The sequence below is a fragment of the Homo sapiens genome, chromosome 6, assembly GCF_000001405.40.
Source record: "Homo sapiens chromosome 6, GRCh38.p14 Primary Assembly".
Classification (NCBI taxonomy): Eukaryota; Metazoa; Chordata; class Mammalia; order Primates; family Hominidae; genus Homo; species Homo sapiens.
In genome coordinates, this window is record NC_000006.12 from 152,385,272 (window position 1) to 152,412,355 (window position 27,084).

Consider the following 27,084-nt stretch of genomic DNA (forward strand, 5'->3'; position numbering starts at 1 on the left):
GATGTCGTCTAGAAAAGCAGAACAAAACATCCAGAATGACATTTTCAGGTTATTGTTAGAATACATTTAACTAAGTTACTATATAAACTTTTCTTCTATGGTGCTAAACAATAGTATCTGGTTTTGTCAGCCCACCAAATTAGCCATTTCCTAGCCTGTCATATTACGGCAACAAGCACATTTGCATACAGAAATGTAAAGACAATGTTACATTGTGCTCATAAGTGTAAAGTCTTTTGAATTCTTCTCATGACTCTTGTTTATGTGTAGAATCAGTGAGGCATCAAATAGAAAACAGGAAGGAAACATTTTAAATAACAGAATCTTATCTACAAAATCTTTATCAAAAGTACTCAAGAAGGAATGAAGCAATGTAGATATAGCATCTGTTCATTTCCTGACCTTAATTTTTGATAACTTTTTCTGGGTGGCTGATGAATCTCCAGACATATCTGACCACCGGTGAAGTTCTTCCTTTGCTGAATGGAGCCAATCTGTGAACTCGTGGACCGCATCTAAATACATTAGATGATCTTTCACAATCTCTTCCACTTTCCTCATTTTTTCCTAGTAAACAAAGAAAAGACTACCTTAACAGTGGTCCTTTTGAGAACATGAACTCAGGTAAGACAACAGGCCTGATAGAGGTCTCTTAACACATCTCAGAAAATTTCATTCTTGTTCTTGAATTTTCTCTGAGTTTAATATCTTAAGAAGAAACTATCAAATTTAACTAAATGTCAAGGCTTTGGAAAAGCAACTATTTTCCTGTAAGTTTACTATTTTCTACCTTAGTATGGAAATCATGCTTAATTCATGTTGGCTAACATCCCTCACTAAAAATCCTCTTAATAATTATTATCATAACCATTCTAATTAAAGCAATTATTTGTTAGCTTGGTGTACAGCAGTCTGTTCAGCACTTTAAATGCATTTGGTCATTTAATCTTCATAACAGTCCTGTGAGGAAGATACTATTATTATTATTATCTTATAGGAAAAGACACTCAAGCTTAGAGAGGTTAGGTAATGGGTAATTGTGGCCAGTCACACATTCAAAAGTGTCAAAGCCAGAATTCAAACTTAACGTCTTTTTGACTTGAGTCATAGCTCTTAATCATTAACAAGATGAAAACGAAGATAAACAAGCACATCTATTAATAATCATAATGTCAAGAAGAAAAGAGTCAGTTCCCAAGAAGGCAAACCAAAGAAAAGAAAAAGCAGCAAACAACAACAACTCTCTCCCTTAATTTCTATAATATTTACAAATATGCCAAAGAATAATCATGAAGGAAATGAAAGATTCATATAGAGAATTGGAAAGATATTTTTGATATTATATAAAGGAGTTTATACTTTGGAAAATAGAAACCGTTTTTACTAAGATGAGAGATGAACACAATATTTCGTACACGACTGAATCTTGACGGTAAATAGACTTGCATTTAATATAACAAATATAAGTGTAGCAAAAGAAAAACAACTTTAACGGCGACATTTGATGTGCAAAGTAGAGAGATTAACTAAAAAAGCGGAGAAAGAGAAAAATAAGCAATAAAGAATAATCCCAAGATTGTAGAAAGAGAAAAATGAATAGGCATTCATAGTAAGAAATGATCTTTATGTCATACCCATTTACTGAATGTACAAATAGTTTTAGAGCAGCCAATTCTCCAACAATTTAATCCACAGTTTCTTCTTTACCTGACCTTGGCAACAGTCATTATATTATTAATATAAATCAATATATTGTATTAATGTATTATAAAGCATCTACTTTCAATATAAAGCACTAACCTTGGCAACAGTCATTATATCATTAAACTGTGTTTTCAGCTCCTCTTGAGCTGTGTCCTTGAAAGACTCATCCTCTGTCTTTTCGTAGAGCTCCCTGGACTTCGCAATTAGACGGTGAAGGGCTCTCGTGTGATCTTCTGCCTCAGACAGGATGGACTGGAGGTGGTCAAGCAGGACGAACTTCTCTTTCAGACCTGGCTGTGGTTGTAAGGGATGTTCTATTTTTTGATCCACTGATTCCATCCACTGCTCCAACTGGTTTTTCCTCTCTACATAGTCATTCCATTGGCTAATCACAGACTCTAAAGTGCTAGAATTAATGTCACATATTAACAAAAATGAATTATTTTGACATCTCTACTGAAAACCAATCACAAAGTCGTGACATCCATGCCAATTGTTTTATTGAATGCTACTGGAAGTGATGAAAATGTTGCTTTTGAGTGCAGGGAGAAACACTACTTCTCTGATCCATAAGATCCTTACCACAGGTCCTTTGAACAAAGTCAATCTATATTAAAACATGAAATAAGAAGTTGTGGTCATACATGCATCTGGAATTTGTCTTCCAAATGCTAACTATTCTAAATGAGCAATATACATTTATATGTTATGTTGTTTAAAATCAGCATGGGAACATCAATGAAATTTTATTTCATATAGATCAGTTCTTAATTTTCTTGGAATTATCAATAGTTTATCTTATTAAAATCAGATGGTGATTATTTGTTGACTGGAATTCAAAATTCAAGGTATCCTTCCTGAGTAAATGATCTATCATTAGGTTGATTTTCATTTGGGGACACACACACACACACAATATACAGTGCTTTTGTGTCGAATGTGTGAATGAATGCTCAAGTATTTATAAGAAAAATAGTCACAAATATAATAGCTTTCTCCATAGTCAAACCAAACGCTCTCCAGACTGGCATTTAAGAAAAATCCCTCCATTATTAAGCATTACAAACTATTCTAAACTCATCTGCAGTGATTTCCCCAGCTCCCCCTGCATACAAGCCTATGAGTCTGAAATTAAAATCCTGTGGTAAATGAACTTCCAGTATTTGCTCAAACTGTTGCTTTTGCATCTTTGCATCCATTGATCCATTGGAACCTCATCATGCAGGCTTTACAGTCCTACCTGTTCCTCAAATAATTTTCTAAAAAGCACCCCCCGCCTTTTTTTTTTTTGACAGGGTCTTACTCTGTCACCAAGGCTGTAGTGCTGTGGTGCAATCATATAGCTCATTGCAATCTCTGTGTCCTCTGATCAGGTGATCCTCCCACCTCAGCCTCCCGAGTAGCTGGGACTGCAAGTGTGTGCCACCACGCCTGGCTAATTTTTATATTTTGTTTCTCTTTCTTTGAATTTTGACTGTGACTTCAGATAATTTTTGCATATTTTGTAGAGGCATAGTTTTGCCCCGTTGCCCAGAGTAGTTTCAAACTCCTAGGCTTAAGCAATCTGCCTAACTTGGCCTCCCAAAGTGCTGGGATTACAGGCATGAGCCAAGACTCTGCATTCTTCTACAACTCCACAATGTGTTTTGAAAATGGTTAGTAACATAGTCTGAGTCAGAGTATTCCAAAATACATCCTGTGCTGGTGTCTGAGCTTTTAGAGGGCAAAAACCTTTCTGTTTTATTTCATTATTTTAATGCAATAATTTGAACATTGCTATCACTCAATATGTCACTGTCAAATTTAATTTCTTGCTGAAATAGTGGAGTCAAGGACCAGAGTCTGCTTCCTGCATGTAACATCTTATTCTAACATCTGAAAAATATCTACCCATATTCCTATGAAGTTTTAGGAAACTGGCCTAAGCCAAGCCTCTGGAAGCTTAGTTCACGCTCCAGCAGTCTATGATATAGAGTAAGACAATGATAGCATCTGATTTTTTTTCTTTGCTGACCATTGTGAGTTATTACTAAGATGCAAAATCCTGCTGACTTTGAGAGTCACTGCCTATGCTCCATATTAAATGAAAAAACAACAATAATAACAACAACAAAAAAACCCTCCAAATTGTTAGTTGTAACCAGGGATTTTTGTTCACATTGCCGTGGATAACTGTAGTGTTATTTTTGTTTTGCTTTGTAATGAACTTGAATTTTCTTTAAATATTTTTAAAATTTTATTGTAGGTTCAAAGGTACGTGTGCAGAGTTGCTGTATAGGTAAACTCGTGTCATGGGGGTTTGCTGCCCAGATTTATTTCATTGCCCATGTACTAAGCCTAGCATATGACAGTTATTTTTGCTGCTCCTCTCCCTCCTCCCACCTTCCACCCTCAAGGAGGCACCAGTGTCTGTTATCCCCTTCTTTGTATGAACTTTAATCTTCTATTCATCTATTTTGTTATGATCACATTGGGCACCCAGTGTGTCAATGATCTAACAGGATATATAACCATCAGAATATGGCTCTTTTTTACTGTAATTCAGACTGATGGTCATTTGTCCAACAAATGAGCCAGATTATTTATGGATACTCTGAGAAGAGGGAGGTAGGGAGAAATCTCTCACTTATAATTACAACAAAAACACTACCTGGTATAACAATCAAGGACTTCCCTGCTTCCTCATCAACATCTGGTACAGATGATTTTCAACAGAGGCTCTACGGCTGGGCTCTATTCTGGATGGACTGACTCTTGGTTGTGGGAGAATGTTCCACACTTTGTAGGATATGAGCTCTCTGTGCCTCAGTCACTAAATGCCAGGGATATTCCCTCGTCACTGTGACAATCAAAACCATCCTACACATTTCCTATAATGCAAATGGGCGTAGTATGACTTCTAGTTGAGGAATAGATTTACGACTAAGCTCAACAGCTGCCAATAGCTTAATTTTCCATATGTTCCTTAAGCTAAAATGTATTCAAGTTATTAAAGAACCATATATTCTTGCTTGGATGGCTTGAAAGGAGATGTTTTGCTGAGCCCATGTCACATAAGATTCCAGAAGAGATAATAGGTAGATTTAAATATTTAAAAAATGCAAGTAAGAACACAGAAACAAAGCAATAACAAGCAAAAACCAGTCATCGCCCTATGGAAAACACAACTTAGACAAAGACAGGCATGCCTACAAGCTACAGTAAAATGCTTGGGAATTCCACCCCAGGAGACCTCAGTACTGCTCCATCATTTTACTAAGTCACTGCATTGGACTTAAACAAACTCTAAAAATAGGTTCTGTACCTTTGAGCGTGGACGGAGGAGCTCATGATGTCAGCCCACACTTCTTTAAGGGTCTCTAACTGAGTCTGAATCACCCTCTGACCTTCTTTGTTGCTACTTCTCAAGGCCTGTTCCCCCTTGCCAATGGCCATATTCAACTTAACTTCCCCTTCACCTTTCATCAGGAGAATATCCTGGGAAGGAAGAAAGAATACTCATCAGTAGGCATGTAAAAACCTTCTTCTATTTTAAAAAAATGGTAGTTTTCCATAAGAATTGAAGTAGGAATACTTTACTTACCTTAAAATGAAAACAACAAACTCTGGGCCCTATTGCAATATAATATTGACTCAAAATTAGGTATCTGGGAGTCTAGGAGTCAAAGATTAATTCCAATATAAATTCTTAGAAAACTAGGACCACTAGCCTAGAAAGTATAATTTTATTGACTTCAGTTTCAAAGAGTGAAAATACATTCTTTTGAAAATGAAGACACATCTGTCTAAAACCCAGCAGTCCCCTACATTAATTGGCTGGCTAATTTCTCTCTTTCAAGGTCAGCTTCATTGGCTATAGTCTGGGTTGGTGATCTCCTCTGAGCTTTCAATATACCCTTGATGGCTTTAATCATGGCCCCTACACACGGACTGTATTGAAAGTAACAATTTACAGATTGGTGTCTTCCCTAGACTGTGAACTCCTAGAAAATGGGTCCTAACTTTTATCTCTATATTCCCAGCAACTTGCAGAGTGCTTGGAGCAGAGTAGATATTCAGTAACGCTTGCTGAATATTTACTAAATCAAATTTAAAATTATTTAAAGCTATTAAAATAACATTTTCCTCTTACAAAGGGGAAAAATGATGCCTCTGTATCCTTTTTTGCCCAATTTCTCCATTTTGCCCACACAATCCTCATTTAGAGGCTTACAGAACAATTAGGACACAACACAAGCACTTGTGAATCTAATCAAATTAGCATTCAGCAGTTGTCAGTGTCTGGCTGGTGTCGCATGTACCTGTATTTGTGACAGCCGTTTCTCCAGGGTGTCTTTGCTCCCAAGAGTGCTCTCTGCACAGGCCAGTCTGTCCTGAATGGCCTTCACCCAGAACCACATGCTTTGCAGTGCTTCCTCCAGGGCTTCGTGCTCCTGAAGGGCCACCTGGCAGCTCCGGAGTTTCTCTTTGGTCATTCTAAGTAGGTTCTGGTGGCTTGTGAGGAGCTGGGAACACAGGCGGCCCTCCTGCCCAGCACCGTGGCCTTCTTCACTCAGAAGCTGCCCTCTCTGGGAAAGCTTATCAAGAGACTCTCTGAAAAAAAGGAAAAAAAAAAAAAAGAAAAAAAATTAATTCTGACATCCTGGAGTGCAGGGGAGTGACAAATGATTGTTGATATTGGAGCAGTAACCAGACACAGGCTCATAGCTGACATGCCTTTTAAATAAAGATGCTGGGAACTGACCTGGTTATTTCATTCTCTTATGATCTCTCCTAATGTTGTCAGTACCTATCAGGGGATAACATTCAGTCTGTGCTGTGCCTGCATCCAAATAGCAGTGGTGGAGCCTACTGTATTACTTACTGTATTTCCAGAAATTTAATTCAGAAAATGGTCCCAGCTGCCTCTTCAGGCTTCTCCGTAGCATCTCTGCATTCCTATTTAATGGTCAGATGAGGAAAAGCTCCCTGAAATTCTCAAAACCCCTGCTGTCTTGTATCTACATGGAGATTCCTCCTTTATGAAAACCCTTCTGCTCAGCACTGTTGCATTCCTAGTTGCCTGTTCAAAGCTCGGCGCAGGCATCACATCCCCAGGAGCATCCACACCAATTCAGGGTGGGTGGGGATTGTGGGACCTCTTTGTGCCCTCTGCTCCTTGTCTTGCTCTATCGCCATGTATGCCGACTATCTCAATCCAAAAGCCTTTCACTTTCTAAAAGCTAGGGCCATTATATTCATCTTATGTTCCCAAGACCCAACACAATATTGTGCAGAGACTAAGTGCAAAAAAAAAATGTTCTTTCGAAAAGCTGTTGTAGGAGCACTTATGAGCTTTCTTGTTATATCTTGTGTATTGAGCTCATCTTAGTTTGGAGCCATGTTAATTAGATCAAGGGGAAAACGTAAGCACTATGTGGCTTGGTTGGTTTTATTCCCATTTTATAGAGTTCTGAATTCTTATCTGCACATTTACCAGGAAAAAGCCCAGGATATCAGAGGGTAGCATGGGATGTCTTAACATAAACTATTGTGACTACTAGAAAAAGAACACAAAGCAAATCTCTCGTGGAAACTGAATGTTTCAAATTTTTTTGGAGTGGCTGTTATGCAAATATATCCTATGGGCCACCCTGAGATCTGCTAAGAGTTATACAACAAGACACCTACTCTGTAACAAACTTGCACATCCTGCACATGTGCCCTGGAACTTATAAAATAAAATAAAATAAAAACACCTACTCTAAAAGACATTTATTATACTTGTTATCTGTTTGGTGAGACAAGAAGGTGGCTTAAGCAATGATTTGAGTTAAATAATAATTCAAGAAAAGAGATTTCCCTTCTTACTATGAGATAAATTGCTTAATGCATGATAAAAATTCAATGAGTCTTAAGCTGAGGTACTTTTATATAGGGCATTTCCTTAAAATATTTCAAGTAGTGAAATATTATGGTGAAAAGAAATCTAGAAGACTGGGAGGAGCAAGCAGCAAGCCAGTGAGAGAAGTCAGGTGGCCCCGTGGAGAACCTGAATGAGCAGAACAGTGTGTTAGGATTGTCTGCAGAAGTGGCCAGGATGGAGAGAAAGCACCCAGAAACAAGCACACTAAGATCTCTTAGCATCTGGTCCTGGAATATCAGACTGAAACTGCAAGAAGGATTGCATGCTTATCAATGCGAAAAAGTCGCAATTATTAGAAAAACAATGAGGAACATAAAAGACCTTGAATTTGGTGTTGAAGTATATTTGGGCCACTTTCTCTAACGCAGTTTTGGTGTAATGATGGCAGGAGAAGCAGATACAGAGGAAGGTAATGAGCAGCCTGTAGAGACGAAATAAAAGCTGAGACTATGGAAAACCATTTAAAACATCTGGAAGAAGGGAAGTAGGTCTGGGTGTGTTATATTGTATCTAGACACGAGTCAACATTTAAAAAGCAAAATTTAAGTGCAATGTAGTTTTCAGAAAGTTATATGGTTGCAATGATGCTAGTATTCTGTTAATTCAGCAAACATTTTCTATTTTCTGGCACTATACTAGATAATGAACAGAAATGATATAGATCTTAAGTCACTGATCTTGAGAAACTCATAGCTGGAAATTGGGGTTCATAGAGTAAATGAAGAGCTTACACTATAGTAAGGGCTCATAGAGATGTTCCAATGTATTTCAGGGACAATTTATAGCAGTCATCAAACTAGCATACCAACAAGTAGTTATCAGCATGGGTTCTTTTGTGCATTTGTTTGTATGTTTGTTTTTCAAGACAAGGAATACTGGGCATGTTTGACTAAAAAGAGGACTCAGTGGAAACAGAAAATGACTATGATCTGAATTCTGGAATTTCTTTTTTTATTTTTATTTTACTTTAAGTTCTGGGATACATGTGCAGAATGTGCAGGTTTGTTACATAGGTATACAAGTGCCATGGTGGTTTGCTGCACCCATCAACCTGTCATCTACATTAGGTATTTCTCTTAATGCTATCCTTCCCCTAAGCCCCCATCCCCTGACAGGTCCCGTTGTGTGATGTTCCCCTCCCTGTGTCCATGTGTTCTCATTGTTTAACTCCCACTTATGAGTGAGAACATGCGGTGTTTGGTTTTCTGTTCCTGTATTAGTTTGCTGAGAATGATGGTTTCCAGCTTCATCTATGTCCCTGCAAAGGACATGAAACTCATCCTTTTTATGGCTGCATAGTATTCCATGGTGTATTTGTGCCACATTTTCTTTATCCAGTCTATCACTGATGGGCATTTGGGTTGGTTCCAAGTCTTTGCTATTGTGAACAGTGCTGCAGTAAACATACATGTGCATGTGTCTTTATAGTAGAATGATTTCTAATATGATTGTTTCTGACTTATTTGATAAAGTAGAGTGGGTGCTATCCTCTTCTGCTTCTTATGTAGATGCACTGGCTCTTTAAGAGGACAGGTAATGAGCCCAAGGAGCCAAAGCCAAGCTGCACTTCCCTGTGGAAAGTATCCTATCTTCCAAAGGAGAGCAAGCAAATGAAAATGCCAGGGGTGGAGCACAAATTTGGGAGCAAAGCCCTCAATGTAGGGTCAAAAGCACAGATCAGGGAACTTTGCCTGGGAAAGGAGCCAGAAACGTTTTCTCAGTGGGAAGCAATGAAGAAATAAATACTGTAGTTGGGAACAGGGACCACAAAGAAAGTCAGACTTGACCATACCTTTTACTTTATTAAGATTACAAGGATGGGTGGGTGGGAAATGGAACTGGAAGCTGAAATGTGTGAATAACATATGGAAATTGACATATACAGTACTCTTTTTTTTTTCTTTTTCCTTTTTTTTTTTTTTTGAGATGGAGTCTCACTCTGTCACCCAGGCTGGAGTGCAGTGGCATGATCTCGGCTCACTGCAACCTTTGCCTCCCGGATTCAAGCAATTCTGCCTCAGCCTCCCGGGTAGCTGGAATTACAGGTGCCCTCCACCACGCCCAGCTAATTTTTGTATTTTTAGTAGAGACAGGGTTTCACCATGTTGGCCAGGCTGGTCTCGAACTTCTGACCTCAGGTGATCTGCCTGCCTCGGCCTCCCAAAGTGCTGGGATTATAGGCGTGAGCCACCGCACCTGGCAAGCACTCTTTTTTTCTTTTTTTTATCTTTACAGTCACTGTGAATTTGTGGTTTTCTTTCCTTCATATCAGCTTCACATTATGTTAATTGATCCTCAAAATAACCTCAGAGAGGAAAGTACAGTATTATTAACACAATGTTTAAAGGCTAAAATCAAGAGCAACAGGAGATAAGTGACCTGCCCAATTTCTTGAACAAACAGGAGGTGGATCTGGAATGCAGATGAGCTTCTTACTTCCATCCTGCACTCTCACCAGAATACTGCACTGCTGCAAAGAGTGCAGCATAGTCCTCTGTATTCCAGACATTCAAGGACAGCACAAACCACTACCCACAAACCAACTAACTAACCAATCAAAACCAAACCAACCAACCAACCAACTAGTCTAAAACATGGTAAGAGGTAAAGGACCTGTTCCATTTCTGGACCATACCTTGCAGCCAGCAGTTCTCCCAAAAACATTTCAACTTTATGAACTTCATTTTTCTTCTCAGGAATGTGCTGTTTACTCTCTCCCAAGTTTTCCGTATTGAACCTTTCTTCCATTTCATGGATCCATAAGTTCAGTTTTCTGTGCTGATCTTCAAAGCTAAGGGAAAGAAAATGCCTTAGAGAAATTCTTACATGCTTGTTATGATAAATTACTTTTAATAGCTGAGGTCACAATGTCTTTTAAATGGCAATTAAGACCTCATGAATGTTCAAGTGACAAAAACAAAACAAAACTTAACAACTAACCCACCCAAATTATCACTTATTTTAATAACAAAGTGAAAATCATGACAATTTCTTTTGAGATCCAAGCAGGAAAAGAATCATCTCACCTAGCTGAACTGATTTCATAGCTGGTAATTGCCAACAAGATCACATTCCCACGTCAATGAGCACTTAATTTTGTGTCTTACTACGAAGACCCCTGAATTGGGGCCAATGGATATGAATTGATTTCATAGCTGGTAATTGCCAACAAGATTACATTCTCATGTCAATGTGCACTTTAATTTTGTGACTTACTACAAAGACCCTTGAGTTGGGGCCAGTGAATAAGTAGGGCAGTGGAGTCCCTGGGAAGAGAAGGGAAAGTGGCCTCTGTGTCTTTGTTTCTTAAGGGATTTTCAAATATATCTCAAGAGCTCTAAGTTTTGGAAACAATGTAAGCTCTCCAAGAAAGCTGGGCAAGAGTCAGGCAAATTATTCTGCCATCAGAAAGACAATTTGATTCTACTGACATCTTTTCTCACCCTAGTCATAGGTGGCTCTTTCTCCCCTTCTAATCGTATATTCACCATATATTACTTATTGGAATCTAGATCCACAGAATTCAATCATTGTTTTCTGCTATGACTCTATCCCAAATGAAGTGGATACAAGGAAAAACCTTGTATAATCTAAAAATTGAGGTGTCAGAACTTTATATATTGGTGAACCAAATAAAAATTATATGCATTTATATAATTTTCAGTTACTAGTAAATATAGTTTGTTTTCTCTATATTAAAAAAAGCCAAGTCATAACTTCAGAGTCCGAAAAATTGATTATTGCCCTAGTATCACCTGTATTTATGATCAAAGCTTATTATAATTTAAACTCACAGTGTCAAACGTTATTTATTTATTCACATGACTCTTTTCTCTAAGCCTTTAAAAACACACTTGGTGTATGATGAAATCTATGTTTGTTAAACTAACCTACCTTCCAAGTTCTGAAGCACAGTCTTGAAGAGCCTGCTTATCTTTAAGGCATTGTTTCAGAAATGCTTGAAACTCTTCATTGGCCTTTGTGATTTGTTCTTGAATGCTACTGACAATTTGTTTAGACAAATGTGCATACAAAGTTTGTCCTTCTTGAGTCACTGCATCAAGTTTGCTCTGCCCATCACTGACTGAGTCCAAAATGTTCTGTTTCAGGAAATAAAGGTAATAGGTCCATGGGACTATGCATTACAATTGTGAGCTGAAGTAGTAAAGCAGGAGAAGAAAAACAGAGTCCAAAGGAAAATGGCTTAACAAGGCTGGAGTAAAAATGATGCATACAATTGGGCACAACCAAGGCTCCTCATTGAGAATGGTGTCAGCCAGCCACTGGAACCACTGAGGACAAAGTGTAAACAAGGCTGAGCTGGAACCGAGGACGTTCTCACCAAGGTCTTGTTCTCAGTCTCTCCCCATTCTCACTGTCCCAACATGGTCCAGGTCCACCATCTCTCAGGGTTCATGTGAGATCCTCTACCTGGTTAGCTGCCTCCAGCCCCTCCCCTGATCCACCCTGCATGCGAAATCCTCAGGCCCTTTCTTTTCCTGGTCTGCATCTCTTTCTTGGAAAATCTATGCTTGGACAGGGCTTTGACAAAGCAAAAGAATTCCAGAGTCCAGGCCTAGCCCTGCCTCTCCCCAGAGCTCTAGAGTGGTATGTCACCTGTTACTCAGGCATTTCCTTGTGGCGTTTGCTACACCTCAAGCTTAAAAGGAGACAATTCTACATCTGAATTCTCCACACCTCCTGCAAAACCAGCTTCCTTTACTATAACGATCTTTCTATCGTTAACTTCTAATCTAATGAATTTTCAACATCATTTTTATCCCCCATTAGGCCACAAAATCCTCATGGTTCTCATTAGCTTTTAAAAATGATTTATTTTGGCCGGGCATGGTGGCTCATGTTTGTAACTAGCACTTTGAGAGGCCAAGGCGGGTGGATCACCTGAGGTCAGGAGTTTGAGACCAGCCTGGCCTACATGGTGAAACCTCGTCTCTACTAAAAATACAAAAATTAGCTGGGCATGGTGGCACACACCTGTAATCCCAGCTACTTGGGAGGCTGAGGCAGGAGAATCACTTGAACCCAGGAGGTGGAGGTTGCAGTAAGCTGAAATCATGCCACTGCACTCCAGCCTGGGTGACAGAGCAAGACTCCATCTCAAAAAAAAAAAAAAAGAAAAAGGTTACTTTTTAGAATACTTAACATAGTGCTTTACTCGGATTAGCTGCTTGACAAGCTTGGCCAAAACCTAACTTGAGCCTATTCTTCTGTAAATCATTTCTTAACTCTACTTCACCATGGCCTTCTCCTTCCTAAGCTCATACATTTTCAGTCAGTAAAACCTATAAAACCTGTAATATCTATTATTTTAGTTTGAATATCTCCTATCTCTAACTATAGACCATAAATTACTAAAAAACACAAACCATGTCTTCTTCTTTTTAAAACTCCTCCACAATAGTCATATAATACAGATACAATTATTATACTCTTATTGTTATAAAAATTAAAACTAGGTTTAGTTTAGAATGAATTTCAAAGAATTGTCAATAGGCTAAAAAAAGAGAGGAAAGGGATCTGGAAATTCTGTAGCCCCAACTTGTTTCTCAACATACTTATCATGTTGTCTATTTCCTTCTGACTCAATCAGCCTAATTCTGTTAGGGACGAGGAAAAGATTGGCTCAGATAAGATTTGGGAAATGAGATAACTTAGGTCTGCCTGCAGGCACCTGAGTACATTTTGGGGAAGAAGGAAAAGGATGTCAGCTTCTATACCTGAAGATCATGGAGCTTTGCTTCTAGAACTTTGCTGTCACCGGTGCGATCTGATGATTCTTTTGCTGCTGCCTTTGCTCCCAAAAACCATTCTTGGAATTCCTGCATAGACTCTTTTGAAAGAAAAAATAAATAAATAAAAATAAAAAATCAGAAGCAAATCCAAAACATTGAATGGGCTCCCAGGATTACCACATGAATTATTTCTGGCCTTTAGCTCATCTCCTCTTGCCTTACAAAATATTCCACAAAGAAAATAATAATATATAAAGTAATACAGTATGATCTACAGCCATGAATGTTCATGGTAGAATTGAGAAGTTATCTCAGAGGAAAGACTAAAAAGAAATGTATGTTCCTGGAATGTCTAATATCCTGTTGTGTTTTCTCTTTGGGTCAAGAAAAATAATTAATTGCCTGAATATGTAAAAAGTGCAAGGAGAGAAATGCTCCAGGGACATTAAAGCCATTTTGATGGCACAGGGAGGAACCACCTCCTCTTTTGGGGAGTCATGGTGGATCCATGTCAGGCACAGCTGTGTGGAAAGCAGAGGCAGGGCCACAGGATGGGCAATTTCCTGGACCCTATGGCTGCCCTGTTTCATGGCTTCTACCAACATCTAAGTTTATTGTGTCACTTCATCATAGCATAAAAAATTTCAGCAGTTGTTTGGACAGTGGCTGCTGGCCACTTGAGCAGTGGAAGTAATTTTCCACACACATGAGCTATATATAGAAAATGCAGATGAAATTCAGAATCATCAAGATGGTGAACTCTTGCTTTCTTGGGAAAAAGAGGAAAAAGAAAGAAAAAATTCTGCATAGGGTGAGAGCCTCCAGCACAGCACTTCTATTGCTCAAATCGCAAAGCACAAACAAATTTGAAATGACACCCTGGAAAGTTTCCTCAAACTTTTGCTGGCAGTTTCTAGGCAGCATTTGGTTTGGATTCTTTCTCGGAAACAAACTACTCATGCTAAGGCCCCTCAGAACTCACCACTGAAGTGTTTTTCCAGAGATTCCTGCAGGCTGGCCTGGGTTTTGGAGCACAACTGGCTCACGGCTTCATGTTTCTTTATCAGACCAGTCATTGCACGGCCCAGGCTCTCCAACTCAGCTGAGTGGTACTTGCGGCACAAGCTATTGAGATTTTCTTGGGTAGAGCTGATGTTGCTTTGTTGACTTTGAAGTTCTTTTTGTATATCCTACAGAATAAAAGTATATTATGAAGGATATTCATAACTTGAGAGAAATACTCCATTTACTTCACTATGGTACTGTTTTACAATCTGAAATTGACATTGTTGAATCCACTCCATGGTGTATACATTTTGGTGCGTTTTTGAGTACTTGTACTAGATCTGTACTGATTCTTTCAGAATTTTGCCCAGTTCTCCTTGGGAACAAACAGCTGTTGGGAAGTAGTTAGGAGGTGAGGTATAATTTAGCATTTCAAGCAAACTGAATAGGTCCTTATAGATTCCAGTCCATGATCTTGGGTTTAGTCAATTGATTAGAGACCATCGCAGTTCACATTCTTCAATGAGACACTTGAACTTTGTTTCAGAGTCACGTGCTCACCAAAAGCACCAGTAGTTAATTTAAAAAAAAAAAAGGAAAAAAGACCTCAGTTTCTAGTACAGTAAGGAAATATGCTAAAAGAGAACAAATTGCATTTGTTGAAAAGTCAACTCAGTGCTTGTCCTTTACAGATAGCTAATTAGGAATGTTATCTATTAATATGGATAGGAAACATGAAAATGGGCCAGGTGTGGTGGCTCACACCTGTAATCCCAACACTTTGGGAGGCTGAGGCCAGTGGATCATTTGAGGTCAGGAGTTCGAGACCAGCCTGGCCAACATGATGAAACCCATCTCTACTAAAAATACAAAACTTAGCTGGGCATGGTGGTGGGTGCCTGTAGTTCCAACTATTGGGGAGACTGTGGTAGAAGAATCACTTCAACCTGGGAGGGGAGGTTGCAGTGAGCCCAGATTGTGCCACTGCACTCCAGCCTGGGTGACAGAGTGAGATTCCATCTCAAAAAATAAAAATAAAAAAATAGAAAACATGGAAATAGAATGTTTTCTCAACTTCTTCTTTTTCAAAAAATATACATTATCTGGATGAAAGAAGTCACAGTGACCAATAAATATAATTAAGTGATGAAAAACTATTGGATACTCAAGTTTGAAAATTTGTGGAAGTCACATAGTTCTTCCAGAGGCTCCACCCTTTTATAAAAAAGAAAAAAAAACTTTGAACAAGCATAGACTCTGAGCAGGCACTACAGCAACACATGCTTTCTATTTTCAAGGTATTCATTTTTGATTTCTGAACACCTGCACCCAGTTCTTCACGTGTTGCTTACTTTGCTGTGTTCAATGTCATAAATAAGTTGGTCTGGTGTTCATATGGGTAACTGAGAGCAGAGGTTATATTTTTTATTATAGTCACCACAAAACAGAACTACAATCACCATTTGAATGGAAGCACTTAATGATAGTTTATTACCTACCTTGACTTTTTTCAATGCTTCACAAGTCTCATTTTGGGCACAGTTCATCAACGATTCTTCCACTTTTGTGAACCATGTTGTTATGTCATTAATAAACTTCTCCACTTGTGTACTTTGAGCCGTGAAATCCTTCAGGGTTCCTTTTGCTACTTCAGTTATTTCTTTGGCATGCTCCAGTTTCTGCATTAAGTCTGCTTCTATAAACTAAATATCAAGCAAGATTTCATCAATATCTCTGAAGACCAGAAGAATACTCATTCAGTAGAAATTCTGTTCACGTGCAGCTTAATTGTCAAAGCCACACAAGTCTCATCATGGAAGCCAGCTCCAATGTTAATATGCCTTTCCAAGAAGGAAAATCAGTGGACACAGTTGCCAAACACATGAAGTGATGGGCAAATAGAAAGAGGAAGGATTGTGTTAACACTGGGTGGGAGAGTGGAAGCTCTAACTGAGGTTCCAGGGAAGATGTGAGAGGGCATTCTGAAAGTAGAGCTAGACCTACCCAGAATTCCCAGGTGGTGACCAAAAATCTGCTCTTGATTCTCCCTGGAAATACCCATTGTCTGCTCAGATGTAACACTATCTGGGGCAAACATCACTGTAGGATTTTATCATAAAACAATTTTATTTTTGTCCCCACTGTTGCTTTAAAATATTGAGTGGGGCTAGTTATTCTCTTTTCCCTGGATGATATAGCTGAGGAGGGTCGACTTCTATGGCCCCCTAGTTAGTCAAAGGACATATAGTCACTATACATTGAAAAACAATCTCAATTCCACAATTCAAACATCCTGGCCTATTTGGTAATGAAAACTTTGAACTTAACTTAAATTGAAGGCTTCTATTCTTACCCCCACCTCAGATCTGCTGGGAGCAGGAGACCAACAGTGTGGAAGGGAGTAAATATCTTTCTTTCTCTTCCTTCATTTTATTTCTATTCTGCCACCCTGTGTAAGGCTTCTTTCTCCCATAGGCTCAGACTGGCAGGAGGCGGGTGAGGCATTCTGACTCACTGGATGGGCATCTGTGCCCTCTAGGCCAGGCAAGGTTTAGCATTCATTCCTCCTCCCATAGGCCTTGGTCTTGTGTTTTTCTGACTTTTTTCATGCTTGGACTTCCCAGTGAAGTTCCCTAGACACGACAGTGCGCTGTTCTTTGGCTCTTTACTTTCTCATTCCTCAGCCTGGAGGCCTTTCTTTAACTTCTCATTGCTAAGGTCTGTTTATCCTCCAGATAGCCTTCTTAGGCCACCTATAATATCCTCATATGGTGGTCTCTTCCTTTCTTTTCCTCTCCTGGTTCATATTTGGGCCAGAGTGACCTCTGGCATTTACCTCCAACTAACTTTGAGGTGCAGGACCCCACAAGCCATCATTTATCCTTTGGCAAATATAGCAGCAGTTAGCCAGCCTGTCTGTCACTTTTAGGATTCTTTGGGGGATAGAGATCAGACTCCCATGCCTGCCAAATGCAGGGGACAAATATCCTGTTCTTCAGGTGGCACTGCCGGAACCCTTCTGCCTTGAGGTAAGGTAAGCCACCCCCTCACCTCTTCCTTGAGTATACATAGGGGTGCATGTATGTGCACACGTGTGTGTGTGTGTGAGAGAGAGAAAGACAGAGAGAGAGAGAAACAGAGAGAGAGAGAGAGAGAAAGGAAGAAAGAGAAGACTAGAGTACACCAATAACTCTCTGAAGATCCTGCTCAACTCTGTAAAAGTCCAACTGTTAACCATTGATATCCCCAACACAGGCGGCATGCATAAGGACTCTTTATCTTTTTTGCATATGGATAGCACCTCCTTTGTGTCTTCTTACTTCACACGAAACTTCTAGCATTCCTGTGCATGTATATCATCCCTAATGGTACTGCTGAACAAGCAGTCTCAGGTCAGAGCAAAAGCATAACTGATCAACTAGATTGATTGCTTAGCCCAAAGTAGCAAATCAAAGAGAAAGCACAAGAAGAAGAAAGGAAATGTAGAGAAAATCAACAGAAGCAGCAACACATATGGAAGCTAAAGGGATGCAGCAGAAACCTGAGCCTGGAGCCAGTGGGGCTGCCAGCCAAAAGAGACCCACCATGCTGGATGCTTCCAGGGCTTGGGCACTGAAGTAGCCCAGGTGTTCTGACCAGTGCTGATCTACCCTGGCCTGCTTCATGGTTCCCGTGGATTTGTGCCATCTGAAGGGCCGTGAAGGGAGGTTTATAGTGGTGATCCCTCTAAACCCAGTTATTCAGTAACAGCATTAGGAAAATATCAATAAGAACATCAACATTCATAAGAAGGGTTTCTAGGCTGGGCGCAGTGGCTCACACCTGTAATCCCAGCACTTTGGGAGGCTGAGGCAGGCAGATTGCATGAGCTCAGGAGTACAAGACCAGCCTTGGCAACATGGCAAAACCTCCTGTCTACAAAAAATTTAAAAAATTAGCCTGCCATGGTGGCACGTGCCTGTAGTCTCAGCTACCAGGGAGGCTGAGGTGGGAGAATTGCTTGAGCTTGGGAGGCAGAGGTTGCAGTAAGCCGAGATTGCACCACTGCACTCCACCCTGGGTGACAGAGTGAGACCCTGTCTCAATAAACAAACAAACAACCAACATCAAAAACACCAAAAAAAGAGGGGGTTCTGTTCCTGTCTAGACATGAAATGGTCCATGAGGCAACTTGGCTGAAATGCTTCCGAAATTCAGTAGGCAAAAAAAGAACTACCCTTATTATAATATTCGAGTTGGAAATATGCTATTAATACTGGCTGAAGGAATGTGGAAATATATTAATATTTTGACTCCCATGTCTGATACAATCCACATGTTTCCTTGGAATTATGGTGATGATGATAACATCGAGGACATATAAAGGAGATATACATATATATGATATATATATATGAGATACATATATAGATGTATATGAGATATATGTATCAGATATAGATATATACGAGATATAGATATATGAGATATATATATATACACACACACACACACACACAGAGACAGAGAAAGTCTAGTATATGGTAGTAATTACAAAATGGATGGAAGTCTAGTAGTTATTACAAAATGCTTACCTGAAGGTCTGGCGGTGTTTCTAGATTTTTAGTTAATTCTTTCAGATCATTAACTTTGGAATGCAGTTCTTCCAATCTCAATGCTTTGTTTTTAACTTCAGACTGCCAAAAGGGAAGAAACATAACTAATCAAAAACACTGACATGCTATATTTGGCATTTAATAATTTCAAGAAGAGCTAACTTTGTCGAAATACCCCAACTTTAAGCCAGTGTAAAAAAAAATCTGTTTCATTTTTCTGAGGGCTGTTATGATGTACAAACGTGGAAAATGTTACAATTAATGTTCACTGGGAATGTGAAGGAGTGTGCAGAACTTTGTTTTTCTCCACTCCTTTGTATTAGGAAAAAAAAACCTCCTGGAAAAAAATTAAACACTGACCCAAAGTCTTGAGTCAGTGGGGATTTTCAATAGGCTAACTGTCATTTATTCATTAACTTTAATATTACTGGTTACTATGGCAGCATGAAACTCTTGAAGAAGCATTTCAAAGCAAGTACACATCAGGAGTGCCTAGTTATTATAGACTATGTGTAATATGAATGAATCGTTTCAAATAAAAATTTAAAGGATATTAAAGCAGAAACAGATTCATTACGATATTGATACATAATATTTTGCCTTTTTTTGCACCAACAGTAACATAAAGAAGAGGAAAGAAGATCAAAGAATTATGAAACAAATGAGATGCTTGTAAACTTCATTAGTTATATGAAACCACAAAGGGGCATTTAATAAACTATTCCTCTCAAAAATGGTATTTTGGTGCTTTGTGGACACTAGCAAACCTCCTGATGCCTTCAATTCAGAAAGGAATTTCCTTACTGGAAGACGTGATGAGCTGTCAGGGCCTCTGGCTTTCTCCAGAAGCTGGCCGAGCAACTGAGGAATCTTGCTACTTACCTACACTCACTATACTGCAGCGGGAATGGCCCTGTGGGCACTGGGCTGAATCTGATTCACTGATTTTATTAGCTAGTGTGTCACACAGACAGTGGGTAACATAAAGAACCCATCTCTGTGAGTAACTGAACCTGGTCATATCTAATGTGGCTCGGAAGCATATTGAATCATTGGATTTCTGAGGTCAATAGTAGTTGATTACTTTAACAACTCCCTCTCAACCTCCTACAAAGAGCCCTGATTTGTAGCATTTACCACCATGGTAAGCTACAACATGACGTCACAGAACATGGAGTTGAAGACATACACAGCAGTACATTGTTCTAAATTATTTCAACCATGATACAATAGATGTCAATAACTCAAAGGCCTACGTAACAGTAGTGATATGTAGAAGAATAATGAAAAGTGATATGTTTTTAGTTGTCATTACCTTTGAATTCAATGGAACTTATTTTGTAAATTTAGTTACAATTTAAGTTTTAATAATGGTTGTTTTTAACAGTGGCTCCCAAAATTCCTGAACATTTAACAATTGACTTTTGCAAGCTGGTATAAGCTGGATCCAGCACAGGTCACTTTGGAGCTGTAATGTTAGTTTAGCACCAGAGATAACAGCTGAGGACACTGCGGTATCCATCACCCCTGCCTGTACTTTTAGTCTGGATAATTTTTTCTCCTTCTGATTGCCCTCAGAGATTGGAATTAGATAATAAAACATTTAGAATGTTCTTTGGATCAGAGACAAATAAGTTAGGTAATGCAATTCATTCATGTATATTTTTCTGGACCAAAGTCACTATCTCCTTACTCTATTTCTCTTTACCCTACTCCACTTTTATCATAGCCCAATTACTACTTGATATTTTATATATAATATATATTGTAATATAAATAATGCAAATCCCACGAGGGTAGGACTTTCTGTTTTTCCATTATATTTTCAATGTCTAAAACAGTGCCTGACATATCTTAGGTGCTCATTAAAAATTTGAAGAATGATTAACAAATGATTGCAAGAAATAGGAATAAAAAGGTTTAAAGTGAATTGGTGACTAGAACTTTAAAAGGTCAGGGACTCTTTGTGGAAGCCTGTGACCCTCCAATCTCCAATTTTCTTCCATTTTTGAAAAGGAAGTGGAAGAACCCCACTACCTGGCATAATAAGAGCACATGGTAAGGACTCAGTGAGCAGTTTGGGATTTTTTTGAATAAGGAAAAATAGATACTAAACATTACTAAATTACAAACACTTCCAATTTGGTTTTGAAGTAGAAGGATGCCATATCCCCCGAAGAATGGGAACAATTAACTTTTACTTTTCTACTAATGATTTAAAGAGCCCTAAATAAGCATAGATAAAAATGCAAAAAAAAAAAAACCCTTTTATTCATAACCTGTTCAAATTAAATAGCAAAAGATAGTTAAGAGTTCTCTAATGCTCTTCTATGTCTCTAAAAAGAAGAATAAGGTCTGGAACAGTGGCTCACACCTGTAATCACAGCACTTCAGGAGGCTGAGGTGGGCAGATCACCTGAGGTCAAGAGTTCAAGACCAGCCTGACCAACATGGTGAAATCCCATCTCTACTAAAAATACAAAAATTAGCCAGGTCTGGTGGTGCATGCCTGTAATCCCAGCTACTCAGGAGGCTGAGGCAGGAGAATCGCTTGAACCCAGGAGGTGGAGGTTGCAGTGAGCCGAGATCTGGAGCACCACTGTACTCCAGTCTGGGTGACAGAGCAAAACTTTGCCTAAAATAATAATAATATAATAATAAAATAAAATAAAAAATAAAAGTTAAAAGAAGAATAAACTTTTAAGAAAGACTTTTTTTTTTTTTCATATTCTGGTCAACAATATGCCACCAGCTGCCATATGTCAACACAGTCAATTTACCTCAAATTCTTTAAGCAGTTCTTCAGCTCTGAGGTGGTTATCCAGGTTGCTGATGTTTTCTGCCATCTGTGGAACGCAGTTGTTTGACCATCCCTCAATCTCATCTCTAGTTGACAGTACATCATCCCAAATGGACAGGCTTACTCTCAGCCTATCCATGTTTTCTTCAAGTTTCTCTGATACCTAGGAGAGAAACAGAAGCCATGGCATTCATAGTCAGAGGCGTAAGATGATCATCCCCCAACCAAAGTACCAATGCTTCTTTTATCAGAAAAGTATATTCTGACGGACAAACAGTTCCACAAAAATTATTGTAATCTAATAAGTGCACCCAACTCACGTAAATGCTAACCAATACATAGATTGCTTCTGTCATTGGGAGAGTTGTTTGAATTTCTGAGACATTGCATTTTCATTTGTAAATTGGGATACTAACAACAACAGGTCCATTGGAATCTACTATAACTCAATATAAGGTTGAATTCTACAGGACAAAGGTCCATCAAGAACAGTGTTGTATTTATTTTTGAAAGCATTAACAATAAGCATTTTTATTTCTAATGCTGAGGTATAATTAGCATTAATTAGATTCAAACATATTTATAACATAACGCATATGAAAGCAACCAATTTTGCACATTAAAATAAAATAGTATTGCTTATCACTCTTCCTATAATGATATGCACTAAAATCCCAAAAGCTATAAATAAAACAAAAATAGCATGTTAAAAAAAATAAAAGAATGTTCTTTTTTTTTTTTTTTTTGAGACGGAATCTCACTCTGTTTCCCAGGCTAGAGCGCAGTGGTGCGATCTCAGCTCACTGCAACCTCCGCCTCCCGGGTTCCAGCAATTCTCCCACCTCAGCCTCCACAGTAGCTAGGATTACAGGCGCTCGCCACCACGCCCGGCTAATTTTTTGTATTTTTAGTAGAGATGGGGTTTCACCATGTTAGCCAGGCTGGTCTCGAACTCCTGACCTGAAGTGATCTGCCCACCTCGGTCTCCCAAAGTGCTGCGATTACAGGTGTGAGCCACCACGCCCAGCCAAAGAATGTTCTTTTAAAAGTGGAAGCATGTAGGGTTTTCTGCAGTCCCCAAATTATTTTATTATATTACACAAATATCAAAGTCTAACTGGTAAATTTAGCTTAAGTAGGGGAACCACTGTACATCTGAAACTAGATTTTGATAGAAGGAGGGCAACAGAATCACTGAATTTTTTAGCTGGAAGGTAATGTAAAATATTTATGGCTTGATATCTATATTTCCAGAAAAATCAAGTGACTTGTTCTGTGGTCACGTAGCTAGTAAGTGACAGAACAAGAACTAAAACCCAAAGATGTAAATTACAAGTGCAATGTTTTCCAATGCAAAATTATAGCCTTATTACTTAAAATTATTATATGTTATGGTGTAATATTCTATAGAATGTTCATAAATTCTTCTTTTTTATCTATAATTTCATAGTTTGGGAAAGAAAAACATTCAGAGTTATAACTTGTTATGACTGAGGCTATCAAGTGAAATTCCCAAAAGTCTGAGAATAAGTTTTTACAAAGCAGATACATATTTTATTATTTCTAAACTTTATGTGAGCACGGTTTTTCCTCAGACTCTCATTTTGCATTTAGTACTAAATGTTAAAAGTAAAATTCAGCTGGGTGCGGTGGCTCACAAATGTAATCCCAGCACTTTGGGAGGCCAAGGCAGGCAGATCTCCTGAGATCAGGAGTTCGAGACCAGCCTGACCAACATGGAGAAACCCCGTCTCTACTAAAAACACAAAATTAGCTGGGCATGGTGGCGCATGCCTGTAATCCCAGCTACTCTCAGGGGCTGAGGCAGGAGAATCGCTTGAAGCCAGAAGGCAGAGGTTGCGGTGAGCTGAGATTGCGCCATTGCACTCCAGCCTGGGCAACAAGAGTGAAACTCTGTCTCCAAAAAAAAAAAAAAAAGTGAAATTCACATCCTTGAATAACGCTTTGTCCAAAAATTTGATTGGGGAATGTGAATATTTAAATAGTTCACAGAATCCCAGGTGATTATCTTACATCCAGCCATTTGTCCACGGTGCTCTCCATGTCTGTTTTCACCAAGCTGAAATCACTACTGTGAATTTTCTTCAGCTCAGATAACAAGTGTTTTCCTTTGCTGGTAAAGTTATCCAAGTCTTTCTGTTTGTAATTCATTTTGTTCTTGGCAGTTTCATGCTGTGGATAAATGATTTCTTAATTAATAAAATAGTCAGTGATAAGTCATGAGTTTAAAACCATTTGTCTCTAAGAAATTTAATTCATAATTGACCTTATGCAGAAATTAGTGATAGTGAGATTAATTAACTATATGAATATATATAACACCATTTTCTTGAATTGCTAGAATCCTAGAATGTCAGCATTCCTAGGGGAAAAAAAGTTGAGCTCATTAGCATGAATTACCCACATCTAAGTATACTGATAAGAATAGTGCAGATAACTGCTTTATGAGTAAAAACCAGATCTACTAAAGCAGAATACCAACATAAACACATTTTGAATTTTACCTTGGAAAAAGCCCATTTAAGATCCTCCTGATCTTTTATGGTAGTTCTGGTTACAATCACACTGCTGGCATTTTCTAAGACTTTAGATACAGCTGATTTCAGGTTCTGATATTCTCTCATTAAGTCAATAAGTCCACAGCACTGACCCTGACTGTAATGATTAAAGAAAATATATTATTTGGTGTCATGTATCAGGAAAAGGGAGAGTTGCCTGCAATTGGACTTGATGTTTCACTACGTAAAGGTATTAATACTCATAGACGGATTCCTACATACTGTCCTCAAACTAGTGCTGCTGGTTAATCCTACTTACTCCAATGTCTAAAATATTCTCCGTGAATGAGGTATGCACGCAACCACTGAAACAAAATCTATGAACTCAATGACCATTGAAACAAAATCTATGAACTCAATGACAAAGAAGCAATATATGTTCTTGCCAACTCAAACTTACATAGATGAGTCATCCAAATATATATATTTTTAATTGTCTTTTTCCATGTTGTTTTAATTATTTCATAATGGCATATGTTGTGTGAAAGAAAACAACAATAAAACAAAACATAGCCCAAAACTAACAAATAAAAAGATTACTCAATAATTAAAGTATATATCAGATTTTCTCTTCCATCTCAATGTAATAAATTCTCATTGGATATGACTACCCTGAAGACTGTCAAAAGGAGAAGATAGCTGTTGTTTATAAAAATAAGGTAGTCTGCAATCCTATCAGCCTGAATGCACTTTCTCTCATTTGATCTTGTGAAGGTAAGCAGGGTCCAGCCTGGTTAGTACTTGGATGGGAGACCCTCTGGGAATATTGGAAGCTGTAGGCTTTTTTTTTTTTTTAAACAAACAAACAAACACACACACACACACACAAACAAAAAACAGCTGGGCGCCATGGATGATGCCTGTAATCCTAGCACTTTGCGAGTGCTCAAGGCAGGCTGATCACTTGAGGCCAGGAGTTCGAGACCAGCCTGGCCAACAGGGCAAAATATTGTCTCTACTAAAAATGCAAAAATCAGCCTGGCTTGGTGGCGCATGCCTGTAATCCTACTTAGGAGGCTAAGGCATGAGAAAGGCTTGAACTCGGGTGGTAGAGGTTGCAGTGAGCCAAGATCACACCACTGTGCTCCAGCCTGGGCGATAGAGGGAGACTATCTCATAAAAGAAACAACAACAAAAGAATAAAATGCCTTTGAGCAAGCAAGTTTACATCTAGAGATTTTCCAAAGAAATAAAATTATGTGCACTAAGATTTAGGTAAAGTGATATTCTTCATACCATTATTTGTAATAGGAGAAAATATAGAAATAACCAAAATGTTAAAAACAGGTCAATAATTAAATAAATCCAGATATATTCTTATGATAGGACACTGTGCAACCTCTAAGAAATCACAATGTAGGATAATGTTTAATAATATGGAATAAAGTTTGCACAACATGATTCAATTTAAAATGCCTACAGAAATAGTCTACATTATATAATGTGCTCCGAATTTTGTTTAATAGGTCTTTGTACATGATGTAAAATATATGTTGAGGGTCATTTTTTAAAATGCATATGAATGTCCAATTGTTCTAGTACCATTTATTGAAAATATTATTCTTTCTCCACCGAACTTTCTTTATATCTTTGTCAAAACAATTGACTGTATATGTCTGGGTCTATTTCTGGACTGTGTTCCACTCGTTTATATGTTTATCCTTCAGCCTGTACCACACTGAAACTAGCTAGTATAAGTCCTCCAATCCTTTTTCATTTGTTATTTATTTATTTACTTACTTATTTATTTTAGGTACCAGAGCTGCCAGCAAAGTCCTCCAATTCTTTTTGAAAACTGTACTGGCTATTCTAGTAGGTCTTGTGCTTTTATGTATACATTTTAAAATCATCTTGTCAATTTCTACAAAAAGTCTGTGGGCGTTTTGATTGGGATTGTATAAAAAGACCTCAATAACAAAAAAAATCACCCAAATCGGCCAACTTGAATATTTAAAAAGACATACAGATTGCAAATAACTTAACAAAATATGTTCAACGTCAGTCATCAGGGATATACAAATTAAAAACAAAATGTGCCAATTCTGAGCACAGTGCCTATGAGTTAGTTAGTCCTGCTCCACAAGGAGCACTTAAAGTCACACACACACACACACACCCCCACACACACACACACAGAGATGGCTCTACACATCTAGCAGAATGTCAACCAAGCAAATAAACAAAAATGTCACAATACCAAGTGTTAGAAATTATGTGGAGCAACTGGAAATCTTACACAAGACTGGTGTGAGTGCAAAATGGTGCAACTACTTCGAAAAATAGTTTGGCAGGTTCTTATAAAGTTAAACATATATTTTGCTATACAATCCAGAGTCTCACTTTTAGATTATTTACCCAAATGAAATAAAAACTTACGTACATGCAAAAACTTGAATGTGAATGTTTATAAATACTTTATTTATAATCATCCAAACTGGAAAGAACCCAATTGTCCATCAACTAGTAAATGAATAAACTGTAGTACACCCATTCAGTGGAATATCCAGCTATAAAAAATGAATGAACTGGATGGGTGCGGTGGCTCACACCTGTAATCCTAGCACTTTGGGAGGCTGAGGCAGGTGGATCATGAGGTCAGGAGATCGAGACCATCCTGGCTAACACGGTGAAACCCCATCTCTACTAAAAATACAAAAAAAAATTAGCTGGGTGTGGTGGCGGGCACCTGCTATCCCAGCTACTCGGGAGGCTGAGGCAGGAGAATGGCGTGAACCTGGGAGGT

At 38.5% G+C, this 27,084-nt stretch overlaps 1 protein-coding gene, 1 long non-coding RNA gene and 1 pseudogene across 50 annotated transcripts in view, besides 1 other annotated feature; 2 read left to right on the top strand and 1 right to left on the bottom strand.

Moving 5' to 3' along the window:
• SYNE1 (spectrin repeat containing nuclear envelope protein 1) overlaps positions 1-27,084 on the bottom strand; it is a 515,676-nt gene that overhangs the window by 263,585 nt on the left and 225,007 nt on the right. For all 49 annotated transcript variants that reach the window (XM_047418508.1, XM_017010610.2, XM_017010609.2 and 46 more), the window contains 13 exons: positions 24,288-24,438; positions 23,797-23,955; positions 21,743-21,925; positions 18,942-19,043; positions 15,867-16,070; positions 14,345-14,552; positions 13,348-13,460; positions 11,504-11,709; positions 10,245-10,400; positions 6,006-6,297; positions 5,009-5,181; positions 1,801-2,110; positions 403-567 (listed from right to left, as the gene is read on the bottom strand). In XM_047418508.1, the coding sequence (XP_047274464.1) occupies positions 403-567; positions 1,801-2,110; positions 5,009-5,181; positions 6,006-6,297; positions 10,245-10,400; positions 11,504-11,709; positions 13,348-13,460; positions 14,345-14,552; positions 15,867-16,070; positions 18,942-19,043; positions 21,743-21,925; positions 23,797-23,955; positions 24,288-24,438 (2,422 nt within the window). The remainder of the gene's footprint in view (positions 1-402; positions 568-1,800; positions 2,111-5,008; positions 5,182-6,005; positions 6,298-10,244; positions 10,401-11,503; positions 11,710-13,347; positions 13,461-14,344; positions 14,553-15,866; positions 16,071-18,941; positions 19,044-21,742; positions 21,926-23,796; positions 23,956-24,287; positions 24,439-27,084) is intronic.
• Positions 249-1,448: an enhancer, noted in NCBI's record as "CDK7 strongly-dependent group 2 enhancer chr6:152706655-152707854 (GRCh37/hg19 assembly coordinates)". NCBI's record gives its function as "activates an origin of replication core promoter dependent on BRD2, BRD4, P300/CBP, MED14 and CDK7 cofactors, with strong dependence on CDK7, by STARR-seq in HCT116 cells {active_cell/tissue: HCT116}" and the evidence as "EXISTENCE:reporter gene assay evidence [ECO:0000049][PMID:35650434]".
• SYNE1-AS2 (SYNE1 antisense RNA 2) lies at positions 16,975-19,696 on the top strand. The gene is made up of 2 exons (XR_007059819.1): positions 16,975-17,396; positions 19,581-19,696. It is a non-coding gene; the product is annotated as an SYNE1 antisense RNA 2 (long non-coding RNA).
• Positions 25,004-25,123, top strand: RNA5SP223 (RNA, 5S ribosomal pseudogene 223; annotated as a pseudogene).